The sequence below is a fragment of the Homo sapiens genome, chromosome 7 (genome assembly GCF_000001405.40).
Source record: "Homo sapiens chromosome 7, GRCh38.p14 Primary Assembly".
Lineage (NCBI taxonomy): Eukaryota > Metazoa > Chordata > Mammalia > Primates > Hominidae > Homo > Homo sapiens.
The window spans coordinates 10,572,057-10,597,143 of record NC_000007.14 but is presented as its reverse complement, the minus strand read 5'-3'; the positions used below and the strand labels follow the sequence as shown (position 1 = coordinate 10,597,143).

At 35.4% G+C, this 25,087-nt stretch overlaps 1 long non-coding RNA gene across 1 annotated transcript in view, besides 1 other annotated feature; it reads left to right on the top strand.

The window, feature by feature from the left end:
• MGC4859 (uncharacterized LOC79150) overlaps window positions 1–25,087 on the top strand; it is a 330,125-nt gene that overhangs the window by 182,801 nt on the left and 122,237 nt on the right. The gene's annotated exons all lie outside the window — the stretch shown is intronic.
• Window positions 2,865–3,065: a silencer, noted in NCBI's record as "peak6383 fragment used in MPRA reporter construct". NCBI's record gives its function as "represses an SCP1 promoter by STARR-seq MPRAs in K562 erythroleukemia cells {active_cell/tissue: K562}" and the evidence as "EXISTENCE:reporter gene assay evidence [ECO:0000049][PMID:32103011]".

Genomic DNA, 25,087 nt, shown 5'->3' with positions numbered 1-25,087 from the left:
TGAAAATCTTGTTTAAATGCAGGCTCTGGCTCTGTAGGTCTGTGTGGGTTCTGAGACTCTGAATTTCTAAACCATGCCTCAGTGATGCTCATCTATTTGGCCATGAACTACACCTTGAGCAGCAAGGCCCAGTGCCCTGGTTCTCTAAGCACAGTCCCCAGAACAGCAGCACCCATATCAATGTGCGTGCTTGTTAGTCTGCAGATTCTCCGGCTCTGCCCCAGCCATACTGGATTAGAAACTCTGGGAATGGGGTCCAGTGATCTGTGCTTTAAGAAGCCCTCCAGATGATTCTGATGTTCCCTGAGGCTGGAGAGTCACTGACCTGGAGCAACTCCTACCAGACATGAAGATAAAATAGAAAGTCATTTTGTGGCTGAGTCTGTGTGCATGTATGTGTGTAAGACCTAAGCATTTTACTTCTGTCAAAAGGAATGACTCTCTGAAGGGGAGTGGGTAAGTAATTGCACGCTTACAGGAATACCAGATGGGTTTGATAGAAAATTTTCAGTGAAAATCTATCACCTGTGCTTCTTAGAGAATTTCTAAACCCCTCCAGAGAAACCCAACACAGTGCAGGCTTGTAGATGGAAGTCTATGGATTGTTGGGACTGACTTAACACGATTTAATTCCCGTAGACTATGTAGATATCATGGAATATTCTGAAGCTACCAGTATCTGTCCCTCTTCTTTCCCATGGAGGTCATGAAGGGAGCCACGAAAGACAATTATTGACTTCGGGTAGAAAATGTTGCTTCAGAGAGGAAAAAAGGGACCTTGTAGAAAAAAGGTGGCCCTCCTAAACTGAGATGATAACCAGAGTGGCAGCCAAACTCAGTTTCTGCTGGGACTGTTACTACAGAGAGAGGTGCATTATTCCTTGGGGTGGCTGAGCTCCCACGGAACCATACAATACTTTGTAGACCTGACCAAAGTTATTCAGACATTTAGGGTCAATCTATAAGCTCAGAGATGGAGGCCGTGGGGAGAGAAGGGCACAAGGAGATAGTTCTTGGTACTGGTTTCCTTTTCTAATTCCTTGAGGTTGAGGATACAGAAGCTTCTCTCTGCAAAATCGCTAACTTGGGAAAGGAAAAAGGTCTGGAAAGAAAACCAAAATGGAGAGAAATAGATGCATAGTGTATGAACTTAGAGTTTAGTGAATATTTACAAAAAAAGAGATTGTTTCTTAAACAAAATGAGATGTAGTTACCTTTAACTGGCAGTTCATCTTTTTTCTCTTTTAGTAGATTTGTGGAATATAGAACAATAAAAAAGCTACGTTTATCTTTATGTATGAGTTTAGAGTGCAAATTTCAACCCCAGTATTTTCATACAAAAAAAGGTTGTAATAATAACTATGCATCAGTTCATGAAGGAACAAAACATGTTTGGTGTGTTTTTTTGCCTAATTTTCCCTATAAAATTGACATTTCAATTGTGCATTTTTTGGAACCATCATAAATTTGTTTGAAAATTCACTGAGAAGAATAAATGGGGGAGAGAGAATACATAAAGTTTGGTCTCTGAGGTGTGCTATTGTGGGTAAATTTTTTTTTCTTTTTTTTTTTTTTTTGAGACGGAGTCTCGCTCTGTTGCTCAGGCTGGAGTGCAGTGGCGCAATCTTGGCTCACTGCAAGCTCCACCTCCCGGGTTCAGGCCATTCTCCTGCCTCAGCCTCCTGAGTAGCTAGGACTTCAGGCATCCGCCACCACGCCCGGCTAATTTTTTTTTGTATGTTTAGTAGAGATGGGGTTTCACCATGTTAGCCAGGATGGTCTTGATCTCCTGACCTCATGATCTGCCCGCCTTGGCCTCCCGAAGTGCTGGGATTACAGGCGTGAGCCATCGCACCCTGGCCTATTGTGGGTAAATTTTAACTTTTAATTCTGTGTGAATCCTGGAGCCAGGTTGTTTGAGTTTGAGTCCCACACATGCTACTTTCTATATCAGTTTTTACATTATATAAATGGTGATAATAACAGTACCAAACATGAAGAATTGTGTCAAGTATTAAGTGAGTTAATACAGTTACTTCATTACTTGATACTAGGGTTAAGTATTTGTTAGTTATTGCTATTTTTGTTCTGCTTTTCCCCAAAACTTTTAACAATAATTATTTTTATTTTCAAAAAAAAGTGTTATAAAAGTGAAGTGAGATGACCAGCAGAGATTCTGATTTACCATGTGGATTTTAGATATTTATGCCTTGAGATGTTTCTATAAAAGATAGTGATGAGTTTCTGTATTTTAATTTTTTTCTTGAAAAGAAATAGAAGATTGTTGAGATTTATGGTTTTTTTTTCCTGATAAACTGTGTCTGGCAATTTTGTGGATACGCCATCCCCAGAATCTCACTGGCATCTTCTGTTTCATTTTTGATGATCATTTGAAGGAAATTAATTTTAAAGGACTGTGGCTGCAACTGGTTAATATGAAGGAAACACCCAGCAGAAAACAATCTGAGCATTTCAGTGACTTTGAGGTGATTTGGTGGCTTACCTTTTCACTATCTTTCAATCATAATTAAAAATTAAAGCTTTATGTAATTAAAAGAACTTGGCTTTGACTGTAGTTCCAATAATGCATGGAGGTTAAAAAAAAAAAGTGCAGTTGGCAACTTGAGATAGTACGGAGTTTGCATTTGTCATTCAAAACAGATAATCGTATAGACTCTCTTGTCAGGGACAGGAAATAGATTTTTGATGCTATCTAACATTGATTGAACTGCCAGAGAACTGATGGGACAAGATTTGAAGGGTACTGCTTTAAACAAGCTTGAAGTATTCTTTTCATATGGTTTAATCATGCAAGAATGAAAAATAAAACAATTATGAAAGGAGGGGTTTCATTGACTTCCTTAAGGGCAACTCTCGCCTACTAAAACCACTGATTATTTAAGGTTATTTGCAAGTGTTTTTTTTGGAAGTGTGGTGAAGAGATAACATGAAGATTGGGAGACCTGCTTTTTTTCCTCTCCCTGAGTCAATTTGCATCTAATCTGTACAGTCTGTGGAACATGATGGCTTTATGCTATTCTTATCTCCTTATTGATATTTTACTCATAATGGACCTAACAATAGTTTTAACTCAAGAAAAATAGACCATAGGAAAATAACAGTAATTCAGCCTTATGGAAAAATTATTTAAATTATTCAGATGTAAAAATATTTATTTTAACATTGAAAGAATGAGAAAAGCTAATACAAAGAACTCTAATTGAAGTAATATTTCTAGATAACTTCCTATACAAATAGAAGAATAAATAAACTCCAGAAGTCAATTGCTTTTGGCTTAGTGTTTAATGGAATCCTGCAGTCTCTTTCCTTAAATAAGTGACCTGATTAGATTTCACATATAATTAAGTGGCAGCTTTAAGGACAGTGTTTCACAAATACAATTTTAGTACAAGAAATGTTCATCGAAAATAGCACTGAATTTTATTACTAAGAACATTTTTAACATTTATAATTGTTCTTTTTTACATTCCTTAAAGACCATGGGATGAGGATCTGCTATTTTTGTTTATAGCAGAAATATTTTTATATTCATTTAAGAATATGTATATTACTCTGTCAAAAATAATTTCTTATCAGTAGAAAGAACAACTAAATTGATATGCAGTAAAAGCCTACTAGTGTGGAATATAGTCATTATTTTTAGATTTCTGAAAGTGTTATTTTGAGTGCTTTTAGTATGTAATATAAACTGTATAATTTTTAAAAAGACTTTATATAAAGCCCTGTGTTGCTCTCAATCTGTTTTCCTGCCACTGACAACCTTCATAAACTTGTCCACAGAGGATGCCATAGCCCCAGGGGGCAGGTGGAGAAATCATGGTCAAATTAAAAACAACGTTCCCATTGCGTAATAATGCAGGGTCCTAAAACAAGTAACGGCGTCCTTATTAGAAAATCTGTATTTTTTTCATCATGGATTAGTTTTAATCTTTTACAAATATTGCACTTAAACACTGTTTATCTTGATTACTGCCATTTTTGCTGCCCACTTAAATTTTGTCCCTGAAAGAATGCCTCATCCACCTCACTCTAACCCAGGCCCTGTTACACACCCTTCTGAGGATGGTTTTATTTATTTTATGATGTGAATCTAAGACTATTCGTTTTATTTTTCTGTACTGCATTTTTATTTTGTAAAAAAAAAAAAAAAACCCACAATTTTTTCAGCAATGAGCTTAAGAAATAAAAGTACAGATTTAAGGATAAATTAAATATTGATTTTCTATTAATGTTTTACAAAATGTTGGTGGGTATTCACCATCTGGCATTGGAGCTATGGTGATATCACTGATTACATGAAAACCGGAAGACCAATACCTGCTGAAGAAGCATTGGCATCTACTTCCAAAGTGAATGGTTTCTTTTAGGAGTTGCCAAAAGGGATGATTTAACTCCAAGCAAGCAGCTGCGGAAACTGTATCTACATGTTACTCTTTGAAGCATGCATTGTATTTAGACCTAATGAGTCTTCTTTTAAATTAATTTTGCTCTTTTTCAAATTCAAGTTTTCTTGTGCATATTTGAAAACTAAAGTGAAAACTGTTACTATTTTGGTCCTGTTAGCAGAACTTCAGACATAGTTAAATGATGCCAATTTTATATCTGTGCTATTAGATGCTTCAGTTGGAAATTAGAAAATTAGAAATTAGTCAACTACCCTAATGAAACCTTCTTTTTTTTAAAATTTATTTTATTTTATTTTTTTTTTGAGACGGAATCTCACTCTGTTGCCCAGGCTGAAGTGCAGTGGTGCGATCTCGGCTCACTGCAAGCTCCACCTCCTGGGTTCACGCCATTCTCCTGCCTCAGCCTCCCGAGTGGCTGGGACTACAGGCGCCCGCCACTGTGCCTGGCTAGTTTTTTTTTTTTTTTTGTATTTTTAGTAGAGACGGGGTTTCACCGTGTTAGCCAGGATGGTCTCGATCTCCTGACCTCGTGATCCTCCCGCCTCGGCCTCCCAAAGTGCTGGGTTTACAGGCGTGAGCCACCGCGCCTGGCCTGAAACCTTCTTTTCCCTATTCAATTCATAGAGCCAAAGTAAAGAATTTAGAAATACTGTTAAAGGAAAATATCTGATATTATTGTGAATGCTCTTAAAATTCAGTTAAAAAAGTTCTACATACATTAAAGATTAAATAATTTTTTTGCAGTAAAATTATAAATACCAAGTTTGGAACACAACATCATGGTAAATGCAGTGTTTCTTAATAAATTAGAAGCTTATGATGCGGCTATGTATTGGTGTGGTGCCACAGAATTCATAATTGCATTCAAATATTTGATATAGAGTAAAATTCACCCATTTTAGTGTAGTTCTGAAAGTTTGGAGAGACAGCCATATATCCATGAAGAATTTTTAATTGTCAATATAATAGCTGAAAATGAATAAATTGACCCTCTTTGATGCTTATAAAAGGAATATGTGACTAACACATAAATCATAGAAAACTCCAAGGAAAATATAAAAGATAACTCTTTCCCTCTCTCTCTCTCTCTCTCTCTCTCTCTCTCTATATATATATATATATATATATATCCCCAAGATATATATATATCTCCCCAAGATATCTACTGTTAATAATTTGGTGTCTGTACCTCCAATTTTTTTTAATGTGCATTTTATAGTCTACCAAATGGTACTGTAATGTGCATGGTGTTCTGTGGGGTTTTCACAAAAGGCTTTTTTTTTTCAACTTTTATATTTAGGGGGTACATGTATAGGTTTGTTATAAGGGTATATCACATGATGCTGAGGTCTGGGTTATGGATGATCCCATCACCCATGTACTGAGTATAGCACTCAATAGGTGGTTCTTCAGCACTTTCCCCCCTCTCTCCCTCCCGCTTCTAGTAGTTCCCAGTTTCTACTGTTGTCATGTGTATGTCCATGAGTACCAAATGTTTAGCTCCCACTTATAAGTGAGGACATGTGTTTGGTGTTCTGTTTTTGCATTAAGTTGCTTAGGATAATAGCCTTCAGTTGGATTCATTTTGCTGCAAAGGGCATAATTTTGTTTTTTTTTATGGCTGTATAGTATTCCAAAGTGTATATGTACAGCATTTTCTTCATCCAAACCACCATTGATGGGCACCTGGGTTGATTCCATGTCTCCAGTATTGGGAATAGTGCTGTGGTGAACATGTGAGTGCGTGTATCTTTCTGGTAGATTTGTTTACTTTTGGATATATACCCAGTAATGAGATTGCTGGGCTGAGTAGTAGTTCTGTTTTAAGTTCTTTGATTAATCTCCAAACTGCTTTCCACAGTGGCTGAACTAACTCACATTTCCATCAATAGTGTATAAGCGTTCCCTCTTCTCCACAGTCTTGCCGGTATTTGTTTTTTTTTTTTTAACTTGTTAATAGCCATTCTGACTGGTGTGAAATAATATCCATTGTGGTTTTGATTTGTGTTTCTCTGATGATTAGTGATGTGGAGCTTTTTTAATGTTTGTTGGCTGCTTCTATGTAGTGTTTTCACAAAATATTTTGATTACTTTTCTTGCACATAAATTTTACTCTTTAACATTACTTTTAATGGCTAAAGCTGCAATTACTTTTGCACCAACCTATAAAAAAATGCTGTATAACATTTCCCAATATGTCAGGATTATAGTTTATCTAGTCCCTTCCCTATTATTGGAGAATTGCATTGTTTCTAATATTTTCCTATCAAAATCTGTACCGGTTGCACACACATCTTGGTGTCTGTTTATTTTCTTATGATATATTTAAAGAAATAAAATATTTTGGCTAAAGCATGTACACACAGTGGTTAAGCATTTTATACTTCCTTTGAAAATTTGTTCTAATTAAAAATATTTACTATTATAATTCTGAAGGAAGACGGTGAATACGGGCTTGATGAGAGGGGGAAAAAACACTTTCCCTAACCTAAGTAGAAAGGGAGATCTCAAATTGAAGGATTTTTTTTTACTTTCCCTAACCTAAGTAGAAAGGGAGATCTCAAATTGAAGGATTTTTTTTACTTTCCCTAACCTAAGTAGAAAGGGAGATCTCAAATTGAAGGATTTTTTTTACTTTCCCTAACCTAAGTAGAAAGGGAGATCTCAAATTGAAGGATTTTTTTTTACTTTCCCTAACCTAAGTAGAAAGGGAGATCTCAAATTGAAGGATTTTTTTTTACTTTCCCTAACCTAAGTAGAAAGGGAGATCTCAAATTGAAGGATTTTTTTTACTTTCCCTAACCTAAGTAGAAAGGGAGATCTCAAATTGAAGGATTTTTTTTTACTTTCCCTAACCTAAGTAGAAAGGGAGATCTCAAATTGAAGGATTTTTTTAACTTTCCCTAACCTAAGTAGAAAGGGAGATCTCAAATTGAAGGATTTTTTTTTAACTTTCCCTAACCTAAGTAGAAAGGGAGATCTCAAATTGAAGGATTTTTTTTTTTACTTTCCCTAACCTAAGTAGAAAGGGAGATCTCAAATTGAAGGATTTTTTTTACTTTCCCTAACCTAAGTAGAAAGGGAGATCTCAAATTGAAGGATTTTTTTTACTTTCCCTAACCTAAGTAGAAAGGGAGATCTCAAATTGAAGGATTTTTTTTTTAACTTTCCCTAACCTAAGTAGAAAGGGAGATCTCAAATTGAAGGATTTTTTTTTTTTAACTTTCCCTAACCTAAGTAGAAAGGGAGATCTCAAATTGAAGGATTTTTTTTTAACTTTCCCTAACCTAAGTAGAAAGGGAGATCTCAAATTGAAGGATTTTTTTTTTTACTTTCCCTAACCTAAGTAGAAAGGGAGTTCTCAAATTGAAGGATTTTTTTTACTTTCCCTAACCTAAGTAGAAAGGGAGATTTCAAATTGAAGGATTTTTTTTTTCAGGTTAAAATCCGAAAAAAATAACTGATAGGGCTATATTTAAAAATCAATTGAAGGCTCTATCACAGTGGTTTTCAACCAGGAATGATTTTTCCCTCTCCCAGTGCCCTCAGCCTCAGTCCCGGGACATGTGGAAATGTCTGGAGGAGTTTTGGTTGTCATGAAAAGGAGGGAGGTTGAGGCCAGGGATGCTGCCAAACATTTTATACAGCATAAGACACTCCACCTCCTTTCTTTCCACTCCCATCCCACCAAATATTCTCCTAACCACCCCCCCGCCTCAAAAAAAAATGAAATGTCACAAAATTGTCTGGCCCCAAATGTTAATATGTAATATTGAAGCTGAGAAACCTTACTTTATCAGAAACTGAATCAAAGATGAGAAAAAAAAAACAGGAAAAATGTTATCAAATCTTTCTCAGAGGGAAAGTATCTCGAAAGCCTTAGGTACTGAAGCTTCAAGTGCGGACATAAGCAATTAGAAACTGAATTGATGTATAAACAAATAGGTGGAAGTTCTGATCTCTAATCAGGAACCATTATTTGTTTAAATAGAGATAGTTCATAACAATAATTTAGAAAGAAATAAACAATAGTCTTTACTTTCACTGGTTAGCTCACCTAACATTTCAGTGTTAGTATGTTTGTTTTGTTAGTAAGTTTGTTTTAATATGTTAGTATGTTTTATTAATATATATAAATATAAAACACCCCATGTTTTATATCTATAGGATTATTTTATAGAAAACTTAAAAATTCAGTTGTAAAAGCATGGAGTACATAATGTTTTAATCATTAATTTCTAAATGACTGATTTGTGTGTCAAAATCAGCTGTTTGTAGCTATTGATATTTCAGATAGAGTGATGTTCTTTTAGCTAGCTGGTAGGTGCTATGCCATGAAAATCTAACTTATTTCAGTGATGATTGCATTACATAAAGGGTGAGGCCATAGAAGAATGTTTTATGAGGATGTTATAGATCATATGTGTGTCTTGGCAGGGTTTCATCAGTAGCCTTGGGCCAGGGATTTGACACTTTATGAAATAAGAAATATTTTTAATTCTCTTGTGATGATACCATCTACTATTACATGAAGTAAACAAAAACATGTGTCATATGCTCAGATGAATAATTCTTACAAATAATAGATGACTGATATTCTCAATGCAAGTTAAGCTTTCATTGTTTCTTCGGGAAGGAGAAGCATGATCATTACTATTTTCATTTTAAAGGTGGGAAATAGAGATAAAAGACTAAAACAAGTAGAAGTCTTTTTATTATTGCTTGTTTTATGTTATCTTTTACAGGTAATTCAGACTTGTAGTCTATGGATGGGTGTATTGAGGTATGTAGTTGGAAATGTTTAGAGAACATATTTATGATGTTCTTTTATCTCATTGCACTTTAGCAGAAGTCACCTATAGAACTAGTTGCATAAGATCAGCATAGATTGGCAGAGCCTTCTTATAATCAGTGGGAGGGGATTGTTGTCCTGACTCACCAAATATAACTCTCAGTTGGTGCAAAATTGTGTCTTCGACCATCTCTCCTTAAATTGTATCCTGATGCCTTGATGATGTACAGCAGATGATATGGATGAATACTCTACCTAGATGGGAAGTAGGGAGACTGATCTTCTTCTCATATTGATTACATTAATGAATTAGAATTGGCCAGGAGAAGAAAACATTTCCATTGTTTAATTATTGTGGGAATGAATAAGTCAGTATTCATTCCCACAATAATTCATTCCCACAGACCAAGTCTGTCAATCCGAAGTATTCTAACTCTCTAGGGTGGACATTTTCAAAATTCAAATAGACAATATTAAATAATTCCATTATTAGTTTAGATCAATTTGTTTAATTATAGTAAGATGAATTTTGTAGGCAGGCAGTTTGGAAAGCAATGCTGTTTAAAGCATTCAGAGCAATAAGAATAATGCTGAAGAGTCTTCTGTTATCAAAGAGAAAACTATTTACAGTTGCTCTAAATTTTTACATGTGAAATAATCTCTGCTGTGCTCTGTAGTGTTAAAATGAAATCTTAGTCAAGATTTAGTTCAGGAACTTTTTAATCAAACAGAACATTTGGTCTCTATAGTATTAATGATTCTATTAATACAGAAATAGTGATTCTGTATATTTACATGGCTCCAAAATTACTAACGCGAACTTAGCCTATTTTAATGTATTAATTTTTCAAGCGGAATAAGAAGTTCTCTTAAAATAAATAAAAACATTAAATAACTTGTTCAAATAATATATCAAGCTCTTTGCCTTGATGGCTTTTTAAGAAATTTCAAGAACATTTTCCCAAATCTTAATGAAAGACTAATAGATTTTTTTATTATTATACTTTAAGTTCTAGGGTACATGTGCACAACGTGCAGGTTTGTTACATAGGTATACACGCGCCATGTTCGTTTGCTGCACCCATCAACTCGTCATTTACGTTAGGTATTTCTCCTAATGCTATCCCCCGCCAGCCCCCAAACCCACGACAGGCTCCAGTGTGTGATGTTCCCCACCCTGCGTCCAAGTGTTCTCATTGTTCAAATCCCACCTATTAGTGAGAACATGCGGTGTTTGGTTTTCTGCCTTTGTGATAGTTTGCTGAGAATGATGGTTTCCAGCTTCATCCATGTCCCTGAAAAGGACATGAACTCATCCTTTTTTATGGCTGCACAGTATTCCATGGTGTATATGTGCCACATTTTCTTAATCCAGTCTATCATTGATGGACATTTGGGTTGGTTCCAAGTCTTTGCTACTGTGAATAGTGCTACAATAAACATACGTGTGCATGTGTCTTTATTGTAGCATGATTTATAATCTTTTGGGTATATACCCAGTACTGGGATTGCTGGGTCAAATGGTATTTCTAGTTCTAGATCCTTGAGGAATCGCCACACTGTCTTCCACAATGGTTGAACTAATTGAATAGAACAGATTTTTAATGACATAGGTAACCTTTCTCTTTTCTACCATATCTTGAAAATTTATTACATTTTCAGTTTTGGAAGTTCAATAATGACACAAATATTAAGTAATACAGAGCTTATAGTAAATGTAATATCTTGTGAAAGGGTATATTCATATCCATATAATTATCACATATATATTAAAATGAATGCATCTTTTAAAAGCAGTGAATATTTTTTCTTTTTTTTATTCAGTTAGCCAGAGGCTACGCAATAGTTCTTTAAAAAAGTGTAATGGAAGATCTCACTTTATATTTCAAAACTACTTTAAAGTAATGAACAAATTTTTCTCTCTCTCTTGTTTCATATTTTCCTGAAAAATTAGTACCTGGGGTGATATAATATATATAGAAACCTGCAACCTACATTATTTAATAATTCAATATTTCTCCCAAGAAGGGAGCTTTTGCTAACGAAGCAAATGTTGATATCAATATTAAAAGCCAGAAAACACTAACGTTTCCTTTGTGTAAAGATGCTGCAGTATTTGGTGGTATGCTTAGCAGCCCCCAGTTGCTGATGGTAATTTGATATTGAAAATGGTCATGTAGGTTAGCATTAGCTCTACATTGTATTTAAAGTGTGGGTTCTGTGCACTCTAATGTGTAAGAGATCTCATCTGTTTTACTCTTGTCCTCTTAAAGAAGATGTAGTTAAAAGATATATTTAGTGTCTGTCTATTGTCGACACTTGTGTCATTTTGCCTGTGCAGAAGTGCTTAGATACTAGATGCTAGAAGACACTGGAAAGCAAAAAAAAAAAAAGAAAAAAAAAAAAGCCCTGACGACAAGTGATTTTTTGGCATTTATATAGATACTGACTTTTAAAAGAATGACTGACAGTGTAGAATTGAACCTAATAAAGCCACATGATTATGCTAATGCTTAAAAGCAATCAAAATGATCTTAGATTAAATGTTGATACTTTAAGTGTAACACTTCTTAAGTAATAAAAAGTTAAGAAAGAAAATGAGACTGAATACCTTTAGATGTTTTAACAGGACACTTAATGAAATAGAAGATAATTTACGAGAAAATTGGAAGATTCTTCAATGTAATCTGATAACAGCATTGAAACTTTCTCAGCTTTACTTTAAAAGTGTGGAGGACACAATATAAAATGGCCTTTCAGAACATAACTTTTTATTTTTTACTTATTTTTTTAATGGTGAGGAAAAAAGGGCAATCTTCCAGCAAAGCTGACCTTCTAAAGTGAATTCAAATTCTTAGCATGCTTTGTTTTAGTGCAATGCAGCACGGCTCAGTAGAGCAAGTCAGATGAAAAGTTAAAGGATCAGAAGTTCGATTCCAGACCCTGTAACTAAATTGCAATATAATCTTGGGGGTAGGGAATAACATTCTGGAAACCTGATTGCCTTCTCAAACTGACTATGAAAGATAAACTTCCGATATCAATGAAGATGACCTATTAAAATAATTTTAGTTTTTGAAAATGTTAAGATGTTGATATGCAAAATAATACACTTTATTTTGAAAACTTTTGCAATCAGTGTGCACAGTTTCCACAAAGTCATGAATAGCAGTTACAAAATATATATGCTTGTGATGAGTGTACAATTAAAAGATAATGGTACATGTATTCCTTACATTGTTTGAAAGTTCAGGTTTCAAATGTCGTTGTCATGAGCTTTAATCCTAGCATTGTTTCTGTGCTTTTAATAACATGGCTTAATCTCTAGTCTCACATCAAGATGATGACTACGGCAGTTCCCAGTCTCAGAGAAGTAATGTAAGTCTTAATTAATGTTTGTAAAACTATCTAGGAGCCATGGATGAGAAGAGTTATGAACAGCGGAGCTGGAGTTGTTATTGTAAGAGGTGACTGCATATTGCCTTGCATTACACTAATGTGACAACAATAGGTATTATTCCATTATTAATAATAGGTGTAACTCGGCTGCTATTCAACATGATTAGCATGTTTAACATTTTCATGTTAATGAATTCACAGATAATAAATGCTGCCACTGGCTGTGTCTATGTGCAAAGGAACCAAGTTATTACATGGTCTTTCTCTACTGTAACTCTTTCCTGAATGAATGCATTACAATTATTAATGGAGTAAAATAATCAGAATATTTCCTGTTTGGAAATTTGTGGCTCCACGTAGACACAATTGGCCTGTCAGTTTAAACCATGTTTAGAATGCTTTCGTGTCAATACTAGTGTACTCTTTTGGCTGTAAGACTGTGATATGGCTATAAATGTACAGGGATACTGTGGGAAAATTGAGGGTTTGTTCCATACCACTGCAATAAAGTGAGTATCACAATAAAGTGAATTACACAATTTTCTTGTTTTCCCAGTGCATATAAAAGTAATGTTTACATTATATTGTAGACTATTTAATGTGCAATAGCATTATCTCTAAAAACAATGTAGATACCTTAATTTAAAAATACTTTGTTGCTTAAAAAATGCTAATGATAATCTGAGCCTTCAATGAGTCATAATCTGTTTGCCTTAATGTGGATGGCTGCTGACTGATCAGGGCGGTAGTTTCTAAAGTTTGCAGTGGCTGTGGCAGTTTCTTCAAATTTTGCCATGTCAGTTGACTCTTCACAAAAAATTCTTCTCCCAAACTCCTGTTAATGTTGTTATTTTGACCTCCCCCCATGAATCCTGAATGTTCTTAATGCCACCTAGAAGGTGGCATTTCCAGAAGCTTTTCAATTTACTTTGCCAAGATCTATCAGAAGCATCACTATATGAAAGCTATTGCCTTACAAAATATGTTTCTTAAATAAGACTGGAAATTTGAAATTACTCCTTGATCCATGGGCTGCAGAATAGATATTTTGTTAATAGGCATGAAAACAACATGAATCTCCTTGTACATCTGCATCAGAGCTCTTGGCTGACCAAGTACATTGTCAATGAGCAGTAATACTTTGTAAAGGCATCTTTCTTTTGAAGCAGTGGGTCTTACCAAGTGGGCTTAAAATTTCTTGTCATCCATGGTGTAAACAGATGTTCTGTCATCCAGGCTTTGTTGTTCCATTTACAGAGCTCAGGCAGAGTAGATTTAGCACAATTCTTAAGGGCCTTACTGTTTACAGAATGGTAGATAACCATTGACTTCAATTTAAGTCACCAGCTGCATTAGCCAGTAACAAGAGAGTCAGCCTGCCCTTTGAAGATTTGAAACCAGGAGTTGACTTCTCTCTAGTTATGAAAGTCCTACATGTCATCTTTTTTCCAACATGAGGCTGTTTTGTCTACAATGGAAATCTGTTTTCAGTGTAACGACTTTTATCAGCTAGCTAGATCTCCTGGATAACTTGTTATAGCTTCTGCATCAGCGCTTGCTGTTTCATCTTGCACTTTCATGTTATAGAGAGGGCTTCTTTTCTTAAACCTAATGAACCATCCTCTGCTAGCTTCCCACTTTTCTTTTGCAGCTTGCCTACATCTCTCAGGCTTCATAGAGTTGAAGAGAGTTAGGGCCCTGCTATTAATTAGGTTTTGGCTTAAGAAAATGTTGTGGCTGATTTGATCTTCTATCCAGACCCTTGAAACTTTCTTCGTATCAGCAGTAAGGCTATTTAGACTTCTTATCATTCATGTGTTCACTGGAGTAGCACTATTAATTTCTATTAACTTTTCCTGTGCATTAATCACTTGGCTGTTTGTTGCAAGAGGCCTAGCTTTCAGCCTACATCAGCTTTTGACATCTATCTCTCACTGAGCTTAATCATTTCTACCTTTTGACTTAAAGTGAGAGACATGTGACTCTTCTTTCACTTGATCACTTAGAAGCTATTATAGAGTTATTAACTGACCTAATTTCAATATTCTTGTGCCTCAGGGAATAGGGAAGACTGAGTAGAGGGAGAGAGATGGGGAACAGCCGGTTGGTGGAATAGTCAGAGCACACTCAACACTTATCAATTAAGTTTGTCATCTTATATGAACACAGTTTGAGGCACCCCAAAACCATTACAACAGTAACATCAAAGATCACTGATTACAGATCATCATAACAGATATAATAATGAAAAAATTTGAAATATAGGTATTACTAAAATGTAATACAGACGTACTAAGTTAGCACATGCTGTTGAAAAAATTGTTTTGATAGACTTGCCCAATGCATGGTTGCCACAAACCTTCAATTTGTAAAAAGTACAATATCTGCACAGTACAGTAAAAAGAAGCACATTTAAATGAAGTATGCCTGTATAGCCTCCTTTCCAAATAGTTGTACTTTCTCTGGTAGCTTCCAAAAGGATCAAAGTTATCCCTGAAAATTATGTAGCCAAAATCGGCTTGGCATTAGAAAATCTGATTTGGCATCTCCATGAACCTTAGTTTTGTTCACTATAAAGTATTCTTTATGATTTTAAGGATTTTATAAAGCTCAGATTTTACAGTGCATGTGAGTTGTAACTCATGACATAAAAATGAACTATTCATTATATTAGAAAGAAAGGCTAATAGGATTTCAAACTATACCCATAATCTGACCACTTCTCACCAGCTCTACTGTTGGTATCCTGGCTAACAGCACCATACTCTTCTTCTAGGTATCTGAAATTGACTCCTAAGTGATTTTCTAGCTTCCCCCCTTACCCAGTCACAGTCTTAGCACTGTAGCCAATGATTTTTAAAATCAGTTATGTTACACCACACCATTTGAAATGATACCAAAGTTCTTGGATATTCATTTTCCCCCATTCCTTTCTGTCTTTGCATTTCACTTTTGGAAGTTTCTGTTGACCTATCTTCAAGCTCACTGACTCCTTGTTCAGCTCTGTCCAGTCTATGGATGAGCCCATAAAAAGTAGACTTAGTTTCAGTTTATGGCTCCTGTGGCTTCTGCTTCAGGTAATACCTCAGCTTAGAATCTCTCTGGATTCACCAGTCTCTCTGGATTCAGCGTGGCAGTTGACCCTGTAATCTTGTTATTCTGATGGGTTCAAGAAAAGTTCTGATTTTATTTTGTTCAGCTTTTTCTTGTTGTAAACAGGAGAATGACAGTTTCTAAGCTCTTTGCATATCAGAGCTAAAAGCAGAAGTCCAGAGTGATTCATTTAAAATTTAAATAAAATTATGTTTCCAGCAATGACCCTCAATTTACTCAAAGAAAAAGCTAAAGTTCTACAATAAGCTATAGGGTCTTACATGATCTGATTCTGCTGACATTCAATCCCAATACCCACTGTGTTGCCCAATTTTTCTTTTCTTTTCTGTAATACTCACTTATCACCCTATAACCAATTAAACAATGTATTTCTTTATCATGTCAGTTGTTTATGCCTGTTTCCATGATTGGAATGCATGAGCTTCATGAGGCAGGGTTCTCTGGTTTCTTTCTAGATCACACTAAGGGCCTAGAACAGAGTTTGGCACACAGTACAAAGCCAATCTTTGTTGAATCAATACATTTATTACATCTTAAGCATCCTCAGAAATCAGACACATATACCAGGTGAATTAGATGATTGGTCTCAATTTGTGAATGATTTTTCACTTCCTTCTAAGGTGCCTCAGTAAGGATGCACATAAGAATGAGCTGGGAATCTTTTTTGATGCCACATACTCCGTTTTGAGAGATTCTAATTTCATGGTTTCAGCTTAGGCCCCAGCAGGTTTCTAAGGAAATAAAAACAAGCAATAAACAAAAACCTTCCATATTGGTGGGAGATATAAACCCATTACTATGGTTTTTCTGAAGAGAGGTTATTCCCCCTAAATATTTTTTTTTTTTATTTTTTGAGACGGAGTTTTGCTGTTTCGCCAGGCTGCAGTGCAGTGGCATGATCTTGGCTCACTGCACCCTCCATCTGTCGGGTTCAAGCGATTCTCCTGCCTCAGCCTCCTGAGTAGCTGGGACTACAGGTGCACACCACCACACCCAGCTAATTTTTGTGTATATATATATATATATATATTTTTTTTTTTTTTTTACACGGAGTCTCTCTCTGTCCTCCAGTCTGGAGTGCAGTGGTATGATATCAGCTCACTGCAACCTCTGCCTCCCAGGTTCAAGTGATTCTCTGCCTCAGCCTCCCCAGTAGCTGAGATTACGGGCGTGTGCCACCATGCCCGGCTAATTTTTTTTGTATTTTTAGTAGAGGCAGGGTTTCACCATGTTGGCCAAGCTAGTTTGGAACTCCTGACCTCAGATGACCTGCCTGCCTCGGCCTCCCAAAGTGCTGGGATTACAGGTATGAGCCACTGCACCTGGCCTAAATTTTGTATTTTTAGTAGAGAAGGGATTTCACTATGTTGGCCAGGATGGTCTCAATCTCTTGACCTCGTGATCTGCCTGCCTCGGCCTCCCAAAGTGCTGGGATTATAGGCGTGAGCCACCATGCCCCGCCCCCTCTAAATACTTTTAACCTCGTACGTACTCTTTCCTCTCCTAAGAGAAGTGGAGTGAGTTACTTCACTGGTGAGCTGAGTAGAGTCTCAATCTCTTCTCCACCTCACCCCTCCTCTTTAGAGTTTGACTTCTGTTCTGCTGTGGTCAGCTCTGTGCCTGATAGCAAAAAGCCCTGGAGGCCTCATTCCTGCCTGAGTGGTTAGGGAGCCCATTGTTAATACACAATTAGGCCACTTATTTCAATCTGGACTTTATCTGTCCTGAAGGTACTTTTCTCCTTTCTCTTTCAAGTTGGTTCAGAACTTTGATAAGGGGAAAATGTTGATCTCTTGAAAACCCAGCACTACCCAGCTGTTTCTAATGTGCTACAACCACAGTGTAATTTGAAGAGCAGCATCTAAGTCCAAAAATTCGCTGTGTATTTGCAGCCAGTCTTTCTAGAGTGAGCATGAAGTAAGTGAAGTAGTAAATTTAAAGTGTTTATCATCTTCATTAATTATAAATATTTTAGCTAAGGACGCATATATAAATTGAGTTAAAATTCAGAAATTTTAGAAAATATACGTGTGTTTAACTGTACATAAATATGCACTTTGATAGATTTGTTACATTTTGTTTATGTTTATTATTTAGAAAGAATCACCTCTTTTTCACACAATAATATGAAGAGTAATTAAAACACAATTGAAGTAGGTATTTGCTCATTTCATTTTACATTGTATATAACCTAGATTTGCTCCCCCCATTTTAAACATGAGACCACTGTTTAATTTTTGTTGTTCAGTGGGTCTCCTGTATTGTTTTTGCCTCTCATCTGCCATCTTTCAAAAGCTTCTTTTCATCCTTGGTGTTTTGAAACTTCTCGGTGATGTCTTGGGGAAGAGAGATTAAAATTCATTTTGCTTCACCCTCTTGTAACCTTTCAATATGATGTTTCACATATCCCTTCGCTTATGAAAATGTCCTTGCATTTTTTTTTTAATGAATTTCTTCACTACTTTTTCTGTTTTGGGAACTCATGTTAATTGAATGAATCTAGGTTGATCCTTGGATCTATACTTTAGGAGATATCCCTGATTTTATGTTCTAGATTTTCCATTGAAATGTTTTATTTCAGGAGTCACATTTTTTTAGATTAACATGTTCTTTGAAACAACAACAACAACAACAAAATGAGTCAAATTTGTGTAAAGACGGACGTTGAGAAGTACAGGGAATAGGGGCAGGAAGGAAATAGAAATACCTACTGATTTTGCTAATGTCAGTAAACAAGACCATATGTTTTATCCCATAGACAATCACACATAATAAGTCACAAATGCAACCTCTCCTATAAGATCTATCACTCTACTTTGAGATAGCGAGAAACAAGACCGGAATTTGGGGCAGGAGGCTTTTATTTTCTGGGGAAATAGGGACAGATCCTCTCAGTCAATATTAGATATTGCTACTCTGTTAATAACACTGTATCTATGTAAAATGTTACAAATTTTTCTATACATGAGATGAATGAAGGCTTAGTTAATGTACTTCCAAATACAGAGTTATCCATTCCCTGTGCTTCTCCTGTTACTTTCTGGATCAGTGTGCCCTTCTGTTTGTAAGCCTCTATTGACATTTTTTTTTCAGAGTTAAATTTCTTTAAAGCCTAATTCTGGGACCCGCATATTCCACTAGTATACTATGTACAATGGGATGACATTCACCCCTAGTGTTAGATTTGCGATGCTGAGTAAACTAACAGGCCACTGTCACCATGTAGCCATCAAGCATGGCTAACTGCAGCCACCCTGACTCCACACTTTCATCTACTACTCATTAGGATTCACTTATTACTAAGGTTTGGGTTATCTTCTTGGTCCCACTGTCATTAAAGTACCTCTTATCGGTATCTGTATCTTGAAGATATGAATAAGTATGGGGCTTTGTGAAGCTGTGGTGATTGGTTTCAGTTTTATTGAAGAAAAGTTGGAGAAGATGAGGGTTGAGGCTCAAACTGGCTTATAATCTGCAGTTTTGGATTTGAGCTCATAGAATTTAGGGAAACCCCATTTTAGTTTGAAACTGTGAGGACTTAGGCCACTCAAAGACAGAGCGGTCTGTCTTCCCACGATAAGTGGAGACTGTATCAGAGAAGAGTTGAACTCAGCAGCTGGTCCAGTTGTGTGTCCTTCCCTGCATCCTTCTAGCTTGACTTCCCCAGTAATTACATTTTAAATTTTCTTATCAAAGAACAATTATCTACTTGTTCCTTTTTCATAGCTACTAATTCTTGTTTTATGGATGCAACATCTTTTTACGTTTATCTGAGTAAACACATTTCTACTACTTTTGTTTCCTGAATTGTTACTTTGCTCTGGGATCAATTTTTCTTTTTGTAAATGGTGGCACTCGGCTGTCCAACGGTGTTTTAAAATGAGCCATTAGAAAAGCATCCATGAGTTCTGTGTAACTTTGTGAGTTTGTCAGCTGGCAAGTTTAGTTTTAGGGTGATTGATTGGGAAGGGAGCTTGTCATTTTCATGGGGTTAGCCAAAATGCCAGATTGTGGTAGGGTTTACTGTGGAGCATTGACATTCACACTGCTTGCCTTCACTTTCCCTTAGACGGTTAATTCGATTCCTTTAAAAAGTAAATTTCCCAGTCCCCTTTTTAATATCTGACTACCACTTATTCTCTGATTAGGAAAGATTTCAGAGTGGTAAATGGTTTAGTATATAACACTTCAGCTAACACTGTCTTTAGCTTTACTTCTGACTCTTTCCTTCACAGCATCTCCCAGAGATTCTCAAGATTCTGCTCAGTAGTTCAGCTGCTTCTCTCCTCATAGATACTAGATTGTAGCTTTCTTCATGCTGCTTCCTTACTCAGTATTTTTCCATCAGAAATATGCTGTGCTGTTTGAAAAATAACTTCAGTGGTGTAATTTAATGGTGTCTTGGGAAAGATTAATTATTACATAGTTTTTCTTATAACCACAAAAACTTGGTGCTTTTCAATTATTTTCTTGTGGCAAAAATGATCACTTGATTGTCTCGTGTTTGCTGAGGATTAAAATCCTTTCATAGGGCAGTAGTGGAAGGAAAGGGGGCAGATGACTATCAGTTATTGAGTATCTGCTCTATGCATTTTGTTGGATATAAGGTGTGGGGAATATATAGCCAGACTTAGTGTTATATTTTAACTTTCCATATCAGTTAACTGAAGTTTTGAGAGATTAGCCACCCTGGTAATTTCATATACTAACAGGTTACACAAGGATTCACACCTTAACTTAAAAACTTATTGGTCTTCCCACTACTCATTGATGTCTTCACATTTTGCATTATCTGTGAGTCTAGACTGACTTTATACTGGTTTGGTTTATTTCCCATATAATTGCAACATACTTCCTTCAAAACATGAGTTCAAAGATTTCTATAGCAAATTAATGCAGTAAAGATAAAACCATTTTAGAAATGAATGAATATAAAATATCACCAAAAAACTTAAAAGCATAGACAGTTTTAATATTAAACATCATATCAATTTTCTAGAATGCTTTGCAATAATATAAGCAAGCCATTTTTCTCTTAATAACTATGTTAATATTGCTATTTCCAATTTAAAAGTGAAATTGAGTCATCACCCTATACCTCATGTTCCCCCAGCTGTCTTCATAAATTAAATTCAGCAAATTTCTTTGCTGGTTGTTGTCTTTTTCCAGTGTTTTCAGGAGTTCTGGGCCATAACTGCATTTTCTTTAGCCTCAGCTCCTCTATCTTGCTCCATGAAAATACAGGTAATTTTATGAGACAGTGCCTTACTTTTTATGAAAGTCACATAATACTGACATGGAAATCAAAAGAGAAAGGTATGATGCGGCACGTGCTGTGACCTCTGCGTCTTTTCTCAATTCAAATTCCACTTTGAATTAACTCTGAATGGGTTTTAAACATTCTTTCATTATACCCAGGGCTGTAGAAAGGTAAAAATACTGAAATTTGAAAGCCCTATCTCAGGGTGACCATAAGCTATTTGATCATATTGGTAATAGAATTTTTTTTTTTTTTTTTTTTTAATCTTGGAACAATTTAAAATAGTTTTATGCTAATTTGCTCAGTAGTTTTGAACAATGAAGTCATAAGACTTTACCTTGTTTTCTAGTATTACTTAACTAGATTTGTCATGGCTAGATTTTTTTTCCTGAGGTTTCCTTAGAGATCTCAGCATTTTCTCTCAATATTTAATCCTTTGTCACCAATGTAAATAGTGAAACACTTGAAGAGCTCATTAAGTTTTAAGTTGTCTTAAAAGCAGTACAAATCAGTGCAATTATCACTTCTATTTAATAATCCTCTTTGCTTCTCCTCCCTCCGTTAATGCTAGATCTAAAATTTACTGTCTAATTAGTATTAAATCTTTTACACAGGCACTCCCGCAAGAGAGCAAAGTGTAATTTCACCAGCTAGGCTAAAATCCAATAAAATATGAGATTTTATTAGCTATTATTTGAAGGGTTGTAGTGTAACTCAATTTCCTTCAAATTTTTATAAAATATTTTAGTGGGGAAGGATGTAAGGGAACCAATTGACCCTGCACTCAATACAATCATTCATTTTTCAGCATCCTTGCTAGTTGACATCTAGCCTTTGCTTGACTATTTATGGTGTTTATTGCCTTTCCCTCAACGTGGGCTTTCCCATTATGGGCAACTCTCATAGTTAGAAAAGTCATAAGCTAAATCTGCCTCTCTATCACTGCTTTCTGTTAATTAAGCTTTCATTCTATACCATGAAGCCACATCAAATGTTTTATCACATTCTATACCTTGAAGCCACATAAAATGTTTGTTTTATCATATTTTATTACATATGACAATTATTCATGATAGTATAAAGGAGGGAAGACAAATACATGGGTGGTTACTTGAAAGAAAATAAAGAGAGTGTAGTAAAGTTTTGGAACAGGAAGCAAAGGCAGAAACTGTATGATTTTCTCCCAATGAAGTGTCAGAGAAGAAGGAATATTGATCTTGAGCTAGTTTAAATACACTTCCAGAGGATATATTTCTGAAGTATTTAGGCTAATGAAGGTAGAGGAGAGGGTTCTGCCACTGAGATAACATATGCTAAAGAAGAAAATAAAGAAAATACAGAGACCAAGATTGGGAATGTTAATTATGGGCATTGCGCATCAAACCAGAGTTTACCATAATTTCATGAAATCCTTTCAGGGAACAGAGCCAAATAAAATTGAATAAATTAGACAGATGTGATACCTAGTAGTTTAGAATTTTTCTTATTAGTTTTTTACTACATGTATCAAATTTACATTTCATAATGAAGTAGGAAATTTTAAATTTTAAGTGATTAGAAGACCGTTTATTAAATCAGCAATAGAATCCTGTTTATGAGATTTATGCCCCTTTATATGTTTCTTATGGAGTCAATAAGTGTTCCTTCTAATCTAAAGATGCCATCTTTTGTTTAGTGGCTTTAGCTAAGAGATACTTTCTTAAGAAGGTATTAAGAAGCCTTACTGGTAATTGTCTAATTTTCAGTGGTAGAAACCGCTAGTTGTTGGTATAGCATCTAATACTTTACCCTTATACTTTACTAATAGAAGTCTGCCCAGCTGAACGACTACATTTTTCAGCCTTCCTTGAGGTTATGGGATGTGAGTGTAAGATAAGATGTGAGTGAAAGATGTGCTGCACTTACCACATCTTGAAGAGTTTTTTTTTTTTTTTTATTTAAAGCATGTGGACTCTCTTGGGAAAGGTTATTCCTCTTGCTTTTCTTCCTCTTCCTTTTTCCTGACTCAAACTAGATGGCCAGCACTTAAGCAGCCATCTCATACCGTGAAGCAATATTGACAATGGAAACATTTTCTAAAGATTAAAAAGCATAGACTAAGCTTGCATCCCTGATTCCTTCGGAATTACCATATCAGCTCTGAATTCTAGACATCTGAACAACTTCTACTTTAAGAAAAATAAACATCTATCTTGCTGAAACCATTATTATTTTGGGACAAGGGATTCTGTAATGGGGAGACTAAACTAATTCTACCTAACACACCCCAAATCAAAATTATTGACATGAGGAAATGGCACATGGGAGTCAAGGCATTGCTTTTGTTTTTTAAATGTTAGGTAAGAATTTCTGGCTCCTAGAACGAGATATGCCACATTATTCAGAGATATTTGACATTGCGAGGTTGAAAGTTGATAGAAGGCTGTGCAGTGTCATGCGGAAGCCCACAGGCTCAGGATTGAGGCTGTGGTTGAATTCCATCTTTGTCACTTTTGGATAACTGGGAAAGTTGCATAACCTCTCTTAGCCTCATTTTATTCATCTATAAATTGGGCATAATAATTTCTACCTTTTAGGTTTGTTATGAACAACTAATGTGTGTAAGCTAATGTGTGTAAACAATTTAGTAAAGTGCCCAGCACTTATTAGATAGAGGTTAGATGTTATTATCATTGCTGTTGTTTTTGGTATCAGCTAAAGGTGGATGATTCATTTTTCTTCCTGATTTAATTGTTTTACATCTTCTTTCTTAACATTATTATCTATGTATCAAGTATCTATGATATTCAGCATTGCTTCTGTTCTAACCTACTTCTTTTTAGTCAGAAAATCAATAAGTGGTATTTAATAGTTTTGAGATTTTTCTTTCTGTCAAATTCAGGGAGAAAATATATACTTAAAACTTTAAAATTATTAAAGACTTGTGTTCTTGTTTTTTTCTCAGTTGCTAGGAATTAGTTATGAGTTATAAGATTCAAGATGTGAAATACCTACCTTTATTGTAAAAATATAAAATTTTATGTTTTTGCAAGTCATAAAACTTGAAGAAACTTTTTTTTTCTTTTGCGCATCTTGTTGATGCATTCTCCTTAAGGCCAGATTTAAAGTTTTATATAAATCAGTCTTTATTGAGTTATTTTATGGCCTAAGTTAGATAATTTCCTGAGATATTGATACTCAAATTTGGGTTTGATCATTAGATTTCTTGCCCCTTCCTCTGACCTAACCTGACCAGTGAATAGGGCCCTTGCACCTCCACATTAAAAGTTGTGGAGTCATGGAATATCCTGAATGAACTGGATTCAATATTTGTTAGCTGGAGTTAGTGTTGCTATTATTATTATTATTATTATTATTATTATTATTATTTTAAATTTCTGGCTTCAAATCAGAGTCGAGGTTAGAAACAATGAACATGGGCTCCCATAGGATTGAAAGTGACAGTAGTGTCTCAAACTGCTTTCATCTGTCACTGACTGAGATATATAACTGGATGGTATATAACTGAGATATATAACTGACTGAGATATATAACTGGTAGGTAAGGTTTGTTTTAAGAATTAAAACATGTTTTAATTCTAGTTATTCAATTGTCAACCCAATACGATTTGAATTTTTTTTTTTTTTTGAGATGGAGTCTCCCTCTGTCGCCCAGTCTGGAATGCAGTGCTGCCATCTTACTCACTGCAACCTCCACCTTCTAGGTTTAAGCTTTTCTCCTGCCAAGTAGCTGAGATTACAGGTAACTGCCTGTATTTTTATTAATTTTATATTTTTAGTAGTGACGGGGTTTCACCATGTTGGCCAGACTGGTCTTGAACTCCTGACTTCAAGTGATCTGCCTACCTCGGCCACTCAAAGTGCTGGGATTACATGCATGAGCCACCGTGCTTGGCCAAGATTTGAAAATTTTAAATTAACGATTTGGTTACTGGTAACCTTCTTAGATTTATTAGAGAGATGCAGTTTTATTAAAATATTCCTTCAAGAAACCTGTTTATTTCAATGACAGTCACTGTTCTCTGTGAGAACCTCAAAATCAGAAATTGTGAAATGAAGATTCTTACAACCTTGCTAGTTCTATAAGAAAAGTTT